The following is a 12,813-nucleotide window of genomic DNA, read 5'->3' as shown; positions in this document are numbered from 1 at the left end:
TCAGGTGGCAAGCTCTGTTCTATTTCTTTTATATCAATTCAATCTAGCTTACTAATTTTATTTCTTTCAGCCAGCTTGATCTATTCGTTAGAGGAGGGTTAACATCTTCTTCATTGATTGAGATTTGGTTCATCATCCTTCTAATTCTATCATTTTCCCTTTTATTTATTTTACAACTATGGTTCTTTATTCCTATCTCTTCTGATAAATTCTTTTAAATTTTTTTATATTTAATTCTTGTGGTTATATAGTAGATGTACATATTTATGGTATACATGAGATATTTCGATACAAACACGCAACGTGTAATCATCACATCATGGAGAATGGGGTATCCATCCCCTCAAGTATTTATCCTTTGTGTTATAAACAATCCAGTTATACTTTTAGTTATTAAATTTTTAAATGTACAATTAATTTATTATTGACTATAGTCACCTGGTTGTGCTATCAAATACTAAGTCTTATTCATTCTTTCTATTTTTTTGACCCATTAACTATCCCCACCTCCTCCCAACCAACTACCTTCCCAGCCTATGGTAACCATTCTTCTACCCTCTTTCTCCATGAGTTCAATTGTTTTTATTTTTATTTTTACGTATGCATTTTTGTGTGTGTGTGTGACGGAGTCTCATTGTCACCCAGGCTGGAGTGCAGTGGCATAATCTCAGCTCACTGCAACCTCTGCCTTCCAGGTTCAAGTGATTCTCCTGCCTCAGCCTCCTGAGCAACTGGGACTACAGGCACCTGCCACAATGCCTGGCTAATTTTTGTATTTTTAGTAGAGATGGGGCTTCACCATGTTGGCCAGGCTGGTCTTGAACTCCTGACCTCAAGTGATCGGCCCACCTCAGCCTCCCAAGGTGCTGGGATTACAGGTGTGAACCACCGCGCCTGGTCCAATTGTTTTGATTTTTAGATCCCACAGATAAGTGAGAACATGTGACATTTGTCTTTCTGTGCCTGGCTTATTTCTCTTAACATAACATCCTCCAGTTCCATCTATGTTGTTGCAAATACAGGATCTCACCCCTTTTTATAGCCGAATAGTACTCCATTGTGTATATGTACCACATTTTCTTTATCCATTCATCTGTTGATGGACACTTAGGTTGCTTCCACATCTTGGCTATTGTGAACAGAGCTGCAACAAACATGGGAATGCAGATATCTCTTTGATATACTGATTTCCTTTCCTTTGGTTATATACCCAGCAGTGGGATTGCTAGATCATATGGTAGCTCTATTTTTAGTTTTTTGAGGAACCTCCATAGCGGGGGTACTAATTTACATTCCCACTAACAGTGTACAAAGGTTTCCTTTTCTTTACATCCTCTCCAGCATTTGGTTATTGCCTCTCTTTTGGATAAAAGCCATTTTAACATAGGTGAGATAATATCTCATTGTAGTTTCGATTTGCATTTCTCTGATGATCAGTGATGTTGAGCACCTTTTCACATACTTATTTGTCATTTGTATGTCTTCTTAGGAGAAATATCTATTCAAATATTTTGCCCATTTTTAAACAGAATTATTAGATTTTTCCCTACAGAGTTGTTTGAGCTCCTTCTATATTCTGGTTATTAACCCCATGTCACATGGGTAGTTGGCAAATATTTTCTCCCATTTTGTAGGTTGGCTCTTCACTTTGTTGATTGTTTCCTTTGCTGTGCAGAAGCGTTTTAACTTGAAGGGATCCCATTTGTCCATTTTCGCTTTGGTTGCCTGTGCTTGTGAGGTATTACTCAAGAAATTTTTGCCCATACCAATATCCTGGAGAGTTTTCCCAATGTTTTCTTGCAGTAGTTTCATAGTTTGAGATCTCAGATTTTTCTTTAATCCATTTTTATTTGATTTTTGTATATGGCAAAAGATGGGCGTTTAGTTTTGTTCTTCCATGTATAGACATCCAGTTTTCCCAGCACCATTTATTGAAGAGACTGCCTTTTCTCCAGTGTATGTTCTTGGCACCTTTGTCAAAAATGACTTCACTGTAGGCTTGTGGATTTGCTTCTGGGTTTTTTACTTTGTTCGAGTGGTCTGTCTGTTTTTATGCAAATACCATGCTGTTTTGGTTACTATCCAGTATAATTTGAAGCCAGATAATGTGATTCCTCCAGTTTTATTCTTTTTGCTCAGGATTGCTTTGGCTATTCTAGGTCTTTTGCGGTTTCATATACATTTTGGAATTCCTTTTTCTGTTTTTTTGAAAAATGTCACTGGTATTTTGATAGGGATTGCATTGAAACTGTAGATTGCTCTGAGTAGTGTGAACATTTTAACACTACTGACTCTCCTAATCCGTGAACATGAAATATCTTTTCATTTTTTGGTATCCTCTTCAGTTCTTTCATGAGCATTTTATAGTTTTCATAATAGAAATCTTTCATTTCTTTGGTTAATTCCTTGGTACTTAATTCTGTTTGTGGCCATTGTACATGGGATTACTTTTTTATTTCTTTTTCAGACTGTTCACTGTTGGCATATAGAAATGCTGATTGTTGTATATTGTTTTTTTTTATTCTGCAACTTTACTGAATTCGTCTGTCAATTGTAATACTTTTTTGGTGCATTTTTTAAGGCTTTTACAAATATAAGGTCAGATTATCTGGAAATAAGTATAATTTGAATTCTTCCTTTCCAGTTTGGATGACCTTTATTTCTTTCTCTTGTTTTATTGCTCTAGCTAGAACTTCTAGTATTATGCTGAATAACAGTAGTGAAAGTGGAGATCCTTGTCTTGTTCCAGATATTAGAGGAAAGGCTTTTCATTTTGCCCTGTTCAGTATGATACTAGCTGTGGGTCCATCATACATGGCTTTTATTGTGTTGAAGTATGTTATTTCTATACCGAGTTTTTTGAGGGTTTTATCATGAAGGGATGTTGAATTTTACAAAATGCTTTTTCAGAATCAATTGAAATGATTAGGCCAGGTGCGGTGGCTCATGCCTATAATCCCAGAACTTTGGGAGGCTGAGGCAGGCAGATCATTTGAGGCCAGGAGCTCAAGACCAGCCTGACCAACATGGTGAAACCCTGACTCTACTAAAAATACAGACTTCAGGCCGGGCGTGGTGGCTTACGCCTGCAATCCCAGCACTTTGGGAGGCTGAGGCGGGAGAATCACTTGAGGTCAGGAGTTCAAGATCAATCTGGCCAACATGAGGAAATCCCATCTCTGCTAAAAATACAAAAATTAGCTGGCTGTGGTGGTGGGCACCTGTAATCCAAGCTACTCAGGAGGCTGAGGCAGGGGAATGGCTTAAACCCAGGAGGTGGAGGTTGCGGTGAACAGAGATTGTGCTACTGCACTCCAGCCTGGGCGACAGAGTGAGACGCCATCTCAAAACAAACAAACAAAACAAACAAGCAGACAAAAACAGCCTTCAAGGCCGGGCGCTGTGGCTCAAGCCTGTAATCCCAGCACTTTGGGAGGACAAGTCGGGCGGATCACAAGGTCAGGAGATCGAGACCATCCTGGCTAACACGGTTAAATCCCGTCTCTACTAAAAATACAAAAAATTAGCCAGGCGTGGTGGCGGGCGCCTGTAGTCCCAGCTGCTCGGGAGGCTAAGGCAGGAGAATGGTGTGAACCTGGGAGGCGGAGCTTGCAGTGAGCTGAGATCCGCCATTGCACTCCAGACTCCATCTCAAAACAAAACAAAACAAACAAACAAAAAAAACAGCCTTCAGGGCAGTAGGCTCCCCTCTAGCCCAGGGTGGGTCCAGAAATGCAGTCCAAGAGCCTAGGCCTGGACTCAGGGACTCTAAGAGCCTTCTTATTTGCTCTACACCCACTGTGGCCAAGATCGTACCTAAGGTGCAAGACAAAGTCCCCTTTACTTTTCCCTCTGCTTTTCTCAAACAGGAGTTTCTTCCTGTAGCCACCACAGCTGGGGATGTGCTGGTTCATACTAAGTTATTCTTTCTTTCTTTTTCTTTTTTTTTTTTTTTTTTGAGACAAACTCTCACTTTGCCCCCTAGGCTGGAGTGCAGTGGCTTGATCACAGCTCACTGCAACCTCTGCATCCTGGGCTCAAACAATCCTCCCACTTCAGCCTCTAAAGTAGCTGGGATTACAGGCACCCGCCACCACGTCTGGCTAATTTTTGTACTTTTTGTAGAGATGGGGTTTTGTCATGTTGCCCAGGCTGGTCTCCAACTCCTGAACTCTAGTAATCCGATCACCTCAGGCTTCCAAAGTGCTAGGATTACAGGTACGAGTCACCACGCCTGACTTAAATTATTCTATCATTAAAAAGTTTTCATTTTTACCCCAAATGAAGCTTTTCATCTTAAATTTTATTCGTGACTCATGCCTGTAATCCCAGCGCTTTGGGAGGCTGAATTGGGGGGATCACTTGAGGTCATGAGTTTGAGACCAGCCTGGCCAACATGGCAAAAACCCATCTCTACTAAAAATACAAAAATTAGCCAGGTGTGATGGCGGGTGCCTGTAATCCCAACTACTTTGGAGGCTGAGGCATGAGAATCGCTTTAGCCTGGGAGGCAGACGTTGCAGTGAGCCGAGATCGTGCCACTGCACTCCAGCCTGGGTGACAGAGCGAGACTCTGTCTCAAAAAAAAATAATAATAATAATAATTCTATTCATTTGCTGTTAATTCCATTATGTTATTAGCATTTCTGCGTACTCTTTTTTTTATTAGTATTTGATTGTTATATTTTTCTTTACTTTTATCTTGAAATTTCTGGATGGTTTTAAGTGGGCTCCTTGAACTATTTACACTATTGTTTGCTTGCTTGTTAATCAAATGAGATGATTTTTATCTATTAGTAAATGAATTCTATCTAATAAACTTATATAGTCAGTCATCCTGGTATATTTAAATTTATTTTTACCATCTAATTTAGGTCTTTGCTTTACTACCCTTTTTCTTTTTTTCTTTTTCTCTTTTTATTCCTGTTGCTTCTTTGGGACTGATGAAATTTTCTATATTCTTCTTTCCTTCTTTGTTGGTTTTAAGGCTATGCATAGCATTTCTATTTTTTTTAACATGAATATCTCTACATTTTTCCTATAAAGTCTCCAATTACATACACAGTGTTTTTTCCTTCTCCTGAACAAGACACAAACCTAAACAAGCTTTAATTACCTAGTAAGTACTTCCACATTATTGTTTTTATTTTTAATTTATTTTTTTGAGGTGGAGTTTCACTCTTGTCGCCCAGGCTGGAGTGCAATGGCGCAATCTCAGCTCACTGCAACCTCCACCTCCCGGTTCAAGCAATTCTCCTGCCTCAGCCTCCTGAGTATCTGGAATTACAGGCATATGCCATCACGCCCAGCTAATTTATATATTTTTAGTAGAGACGGGGTTTTGCCATGTCTGCCAGACTAGTCTCGAACTCCTGGCCTCAGATGATCTGCCCGCCTTGGCCTCCCTAAGTGCTGCGATTACAGGCGTGAGCCACTGCACCTGGCCCCCATATTATTTTTAACCCTCAAATTATTTTTTATATTGATAGTTAATTGTACTTACCAACTTATCAATTTCTATGCTTTTCATGTTTGCTTACATCTAATTTTTTCTTCCTGGGTTTACTGTTCTTCTAACTGAAGTATGTCTTTTTAGTAGATCTTTCACTGTAGGTCTGTGGTTAGTAAGTTCTCTTATTTGTATATATTTGTTTTATATATTGTACACCTAAAGATGCACTTTCATTAAGCATTTATTCTGTCTTTTCTATACAAAGTAAGCAAGTAGAAGTAGAGAAGTTTTCAATTTCTGATGAATTAATGGATCAGTGGTTGCCAACATCACACAGAGAGAGACAATCAGTTATTACATATTTTCTACAAGTCACCTACAAAGGAGTCTAGCCTGAAAATTGTACCTGAATCTGATCAAGGCCATAATCTCACTACCAATTTATAGAAAATACAGAAAACAGACAAGTGTAAATTACATGGGAATGCAATCAGCAAAATACAGATGTGGGAAACTCTACAAGTCAGATAAAACAACCCAGTTTCTTTCAGAAGTAAGTTGAAAAAGGTGGGGCAAAGGGGATTGAAGGGGTAGGTAAAAGAGACTTAAAAGATGTATATAGTTAGAAGGAAAATTAAGCTTCAGAGTTTAGAGGTGCATCATGGGCGACAGAACTATAAAGAAAGCAAGAAAGCAATGAACATAAAACTCAAGATGTAGTTACTTTCAGGGGAAAAGGAAAGGATTGGGATTGGGACAGGGTAAATGAAGGACCTCTCCTGTGGCTGCAGAGTGGACCCCATTGGGATACAGCAGAGAATGAGACCAAGGCCCAGCTCTCAGGGTGTTTACACAATAGGAGAAATAAACCAATAAATGAATAATGCAATGTCAATTAGTGATAATGGAATATAAAACATAGTTGACCCCTAGCCTCCAAATAAGTGCCAGCCGAGTTTCATTCTTAACACAGAGTACATAGAAAATATAATTACTTGATAAGGTCAATAAGAAATCAGCTTTCACAATATATTATGGCCAATTAAGAGGAAAAAGTAAAGAGAAAAGAAAAGAAATGAAGAGAGAAAAAGAAATAGGGGCATAAAAAGCAAGTCCAAACATAGAAGAGAAAGACACCCACAAAGGCATAAAAACACCCACATCCATAGGGCCAGAACTTTATGGGTAAAATATTTTATTATAGCTACAAATTCATCACTCTATATAGATATAGGGGCAGGTTGTCTTGGAGCTCTCATCTTCAGTTATTTAGTCAAGGTCTAGAGACTGTGCCAGACTTGATCATTCCAGCCCCAACACTTCCCTAGGTTTGTTCCCTATTTAGGTGGTGGCACATTATAAGTACATTTCAGACTTTTTCTGAAAGCAGATATTATAAAGAAAATGAGTGTGGGAGTAGAAGAGTATTCATCCTCAGAGGAAAAAGGACACTGAAGGGGCTGTAGAGGTGCCCAAGTAAATGCTCCAGTTTAGCCACAACTCAATCTACACACCATGAAGGCCCTTTTTCTTGCAGCCCTGCAGACTAACAAAATGGATGGTAGAGAATGCTGACTGTGCATAGAAGGCTTTCTCCCCGTGTTCACCTTGGAAGGGTCATTTATAGCTCAGTTCCTTGGATTCAAAAAGGAAATCAATCTTACCACCTATGGCAATAACAAAAATGGCAACAAAATGATTGCGGTTTTTAATTCCTTCCTGTTGTGGTAGCTTTCATTTGTCCTGTTATTGCTGGATTTATTAGAAATAACTATCCAAGTCAATAAACCAGAAAAATGCAAGCTCCATCTCATCTAGACATCCTAAATGTAGTCACAATTCACTTTAAATATGTATAGTTTATGTAGTTCACATTTTCATTTACAACAATATAGAATATTAAAATTAACTTGCAGACTATGAGATGGCAGGAGGTCATAAGGGTAATAACCATTTATCAGTGAGATCTCAACCAAATTCTGGCTTACAGGTTTTCCAGTAGAGTTGTGGTTATTTTTTCCCTTTGTAATGAAAACAGATTTGATTATGGTTGTAAAAGTAGTATTAAAAAGTAATATATATTCATTATTTTCAAAAGTTAAACAACAGGAATATATTAATATATATCAAAAACATAAAAGTTGGCCAGGTGTGGTGGTTCATGCCTGTAATCCCAGCACTTTGGGAGGCCGAGGCAGGAAGATCATTTGAGCTCAGGAGTTCAAGACCAGCCTGGGCAACATGGTGAAACCCCATCTCTACAAAAAATACAAAAATTAGCAAGGCGTGGTATTATGTACCTGTAGTCCCAGCTACTAGGGAGGCTGAAGTAGGAGAATCACCTGAGCCTGGGAGGTTGAGGCTGCAGTAAGCCACAATCATGTCACTGCACTCCAGCCTGGGCAATAGAGTGAGACCCTGACCACCCCCCCGCAAAAAAAATCAGTATTCTCTCCACTAAGGAATCTATTTGCCCAGACTTTTTTTGTCTGCAGGTGCACACACGCATGCACACACACATACACGCCCCTCCCTCTACCCCCACTTAAGTGTGTTTTTTTGTTTGTTTGTTTTTTGAGTCAGAGTCTTGCTCTGTCACCCAGGCTGGAGTGCAGTGGCATGATCTCAGCTCACTGCAAGCTCCGCCTCCCGGGTTCATGCCATTCTCCTGCCTCAGCCTCCCGAGTAGCTGGGACTACAGGTGCCCGCCACCACGCCTGGCTAATTTTTTGTATTTTTAGTAGAGACAGGGTTTCACTGTGTTAGCCAGGATGGTCTTGATCTCCCGACCTCGTGATCCACCCACTTCGGCCTCACTTATTTTTTTAATTTAATATATCATAGATATTCTTGATATATTGTAGATGAAAAAGCAAGTTATTTAATTATATATATATAGTATGACCCATATTTCATTTAAAATTCCTGTATGTTGGCCGGGCATGGTGGCTCACGCCTGTAATCCCAGCACTTTGGGAGGCTAACTGAAAAACAAAAATTAGCCGGGCGTCCTTGTGGGTGCCTGTAATCCCAGCTACTTGGGAGGCTGAGGCAGAGAATTGCGTGAACCCGGGAGACAGAGGCTGCAGTGAGCCAAGATCGCACCACTGCACTCCAGCCTGGGTGACAGAGTGAGACTCTGACTCAAAAAACAAACAAACAAAAAAACACACATAAGTGGGGGTAGAGGGAGGGGCGTGTGTGTGTGTGTGTGTGCGTGTGCGCACCTGCAGACAAAAAAAGTCTGCAGGGTGTGGTGGCTCACGCCTGTAATCCCAGCACGTTGGGAGGCTAACTAAAAATACAAAAATTAGCCAGATGTGGTTGTGGGTGCCTGTAATCCCAGCTACTTGGGAGGCTGAGGCAGAGAATTGCATGAACCTGGGAGACAGAGGTTGCAGTGAGCCGAGATCGCGCCACTGCACTCCAGCCTGGGCGACAGAGTGAGACTCTGTCTCAACAACAGCAACAACAAAATCCTGTATGTTTATATGTAGACACAAATAAAAATCCCTATGTAGACACATGGATATATGATTTTATTTGTACAGAAAATTATCTGACAGGGGCCGGGCGTGGTGGCTCACACCTGTAATCCCAGCACTTTGGGAGACTGAGGTGGGTGGATTCCCTAAGGTCAGGAGTTTGAGACCAGCCTGACCAACATGGAGAAACCCCATCTACTAAAAATACAAAATTAGCCAGGCGTGGTGGAACATGCCTGTAATCCCAGCTACTCGGGAGGCTGAGGCAGGAGAATCGCTTGAACCTGGGAGGCGGAGGTTGTAGTAATCCAAGATCGCGCCATGGCACTCCAGCCTGGGCAACGAGTGAAACTCCATCTCAAAAAAAATTATCTGACAGGATACAAACCAGTTTTTTTTTTTTTTTTTGAGACAGCGTCTTGGTCTGCCTTCCAGGCTGGTGTGCAGTGGTGTAAACACCGCTCACTGCGGCCTAGACCTCCCAGGCTCAAGTGACCTGCCCACCTCAGCCTCCTGAGTAGGTGGGGCTACAGATGCATGCTACCATGCCCGGCTAATGTTTGTATTTTTTTTGTAGAGACAGGGTTTTGCCATGTTGCCCAGGCTCAGATTTTTAACAACAGGGAATGAGATGGAAGGGAAGGGCAGGTAAGTAGGGGAAACTTCAAATTTTTGTTTATATATATCTGCGATATCTATTCTAAAAAAAATACACATACTATTTCAGAAAGTAATCAAAGTACACATAAAAAACAGCTCTTTATTTTTTTTTTTTTTTTATTTTTTTTTTTTTTTGAGACGGAGTCTCGCTCTGTCGCCCAGGCGGGACTGCGGACTGCAGTGGCACAATCTCGGCTCACTGCAAGCTCCGCTTCCCAGGTTCACGCCATTCTCCTGCCTCAGCCTCCCGAGTAGCTGGGACTACAGGCGCCCGCCACCGCGCCCGGCTAATTTTTTTTGTATTTTTAGTAGAGACGGGGTTTCACCTTGTTAGCCAGGATGGTCTCGATCTCCTGACCTCATGATCCACCCGCCTCGGCCTCCCAAAGTGCTGGGATTACAGGCGTGAGCCACCGCGCCCGGCCAAAAAACAGCTCTTTATATCAACATTATTTGTTATCATTTTTAATCATTCTCTACTATCTCGTTTGGCTACAGTATAGTGTTTAATGAATTGTCTACTTAACAGCTTTAGGATGTTTCCAATCTTTTGGTATTATAAACAATGTTGATAGGATAGCTTTGCATATGTTTTCTGTACTCTCTCATCAGCCCTGAGTATTACCAATTTTACTATATTTTCACCCATCAGCCAAAAATAAGTTCTTATTTTAATCAACAGTTTTTAATGACAACTGAATTGAACATATTTCCCATGCATGTTATCTATTTATTTTTTATTTTTGTTTATTTTGTGGATTTTCCTATTCATATAATTTGTCCACTGTTCTTGGAATTTTTATGTTTTTCTTAGATAACTGCTTATATATAAAGTTATTAATCCCATCTGCAGTACACATATATAAAGTATTTTTCCAGTTTGCTTTTCCATTTTTAGATTCATGTCTCTTTTGCCTTTTTTTTCTCTTTTTTTGCCATTCTCCTCCGCTTTAACTCACTTGCTGTCCTAGTCTATTTGTGCTGCTATAACAAAATACCTGATATTGGGTAATTTATAAAGGATAGAAATTTATTTTCCCACAGTCCTGATGGCTGGGAAGTTCAAGATCAAGGTGCTGGCAGGTTTGTTGTCTACTGAGGGTCCAGTCTCTGCTTCCAAGATGATTCCTTGAAAACTGCATGCTCCAGAGGGGAGGAATGCTGTGTCCCCACATGGCAGAAGGTGGGAGGGCAAAAAACAGGTCTGACTCCCTCATCAAGCCGCTTTATAAGGGTACTTAATCCTATTCACAAGGAAGGAGCCTCATGATGGCCCAATCACCTCTCAAAGGCCCCACTTTTTTAAATTTTATTTTTATTTTTATTTTTTGAGATGGAGTTTCACTCTTATTGCCCAGGCTGGAGTGCAATGGCGCGATTTCAGCTCACCACAACTTCCGCTCCCCGGGTTCAAGCAATTCTCCTGCCTCAGCCTCCTGAGCAGCTGGGATTACAGGCATGTGCCACCATGCCTGGCTAATTTTGTATTTTTAGTAGAGATGGGGTTTCTCCATGTTGGTCAGGCTGGTCTCAAACTCCCAACCTCAGGTGATCCGCCCGCCTCGGCCTTCCAAAAGTGCTGGGATTACAGGCGTGAGCCACCGTGCCTGGCCGGCCCCACCTTTTAATACTGCCACATTGGCAACACCTGAATTGTGGAGGGGAAAATTCAAACCATATCACACGCTAATTTCCTGTATATATTGGACTGTCCATGTGCTATTTTATTTCTGTGGTTTGTCCATCCCTGCACCAGGACCCATAGTTTTAATTACTGTAGCTATATATGTGGTAAGGCACGCTTTGCTCAGACTTTTCTATTTTGAAATGTTACTAGTTCCTTTCACATGTTTGTTTATTCTTACTGGTAATTAGAATCATTTTGTCAAATCCCAAATGTTAAGACTGTGTTAAACTTACATATACATTTGAGGAAAATTATTTATAATATGAATATGTCCTTAGACTATTATGTTCCCAAGTCAGGTTATACAGTTTTCTTTAAATATGTACATCACAGGCTGGGTGCCATGGCTGATGCCTGTAATCCCAGCACTTTGGGAGGCTGAGACAGGAGGATCACTTGAGGCCAGGAGTTTGAGACCAGCCTGGCTAACATGGTGAAACACTATCTCTACTAAAAATACAAAAAAATTAGCCCAGTGTGGTGACACGTGCCTGTAATCCCAGCTACTTCGGAGGATGAGGCAGGAGAATCACTTGAACCCGGGAGGCGGAGGTTGCAGTGAGCCAAGATCATGCCACTGCATTGCAGCCTAGGCAACAGTGAGAGTGAGACTCTGTCTCAAAATAAATAAATAAATAAGTATACCACATATTCATGTCAAATGTAAACTTATCCATTTTATGTTTTGTGTTATTAATGCCAATAGAAATGTTTAGTTTTTTGGCTGGGTCTGGTGACTCATGCTTGTAATCCCAGCACTTTGGAAAGCCAAGGCAGGCAGATCACTTGAGGTCGAGACCAGCCTGGCCAATATGGTGAAAACCAGACTCTACAAAAAGCACAAAAATTCGCCAGGCATGGTGGCTCACACCTGTATTCCCAGCTACTCAGGAGGCTGAGACGTGAGAATCGCATGAACCCAGGAGGCAGAAGTTATAGTGAGCTAAGATTGAGCCACTGTACTCCAGCCTAGGTGACAGAGTGAATGAGAAAAAAAAAAAAAAGTTTATTTTTGCTTAACACTATGACCGGCATTTTACAGGCACTCAACAAGCATTTGTTGGACAAATAAGTGGATAATAAACTTTAAAAAGCCATGAAAACTTTTCTTTAGTTGGAGACTAAAAAGGAAATGTGCCCTTATGCCTAAAGGATTTTGGTATAATTATGCTAGGACCGAAAAAAAAAAAAAAAAAGGTAGTCAGCCTGGTTTCCTATCTAGGGTTCATATCTAAAAGTCAACTGAGCATTCAAGACTCAAAATCAAGCCTGGCCTTATCTGTGAATGGTGGATCTTGGGAAACTATATACACTCGGGGAAAAAGTCTCTGCTGTTGGCCAGGTGCAGTCGCTTACGCCCGTAATCCCAGCACTCTGGGAGGCCAAGGTGGGCAGATCACGAGGTCAGGAGTTCGAGACCAGCCTGGGTAACATAGTGAAATGCTATCTCTACTAAAAATACAAAAAATTAGCCCAATGTGGTGGCGTGTGCCTGTAATCCCAGCTACTTAGGAGGCTGAGGCAGGAGA

Source organism: Homo sapiens, chromosome 5 (genome assembly GCF_000001405.40).
Source record: "Homo sapiens chromosome 5, GRCh38.p14 Primary Assembly".
Classification (NCBI taxonomy): Eukaryota; Metazoa; Chordata; class Mammalia; order Primates; family Hominidae; genus Homo; species Homo sapiens.
The sequence above is the reverse complement of the archived record's forward strand: the minus strand, read 5'-3'. Positions refer to the sequence as shown.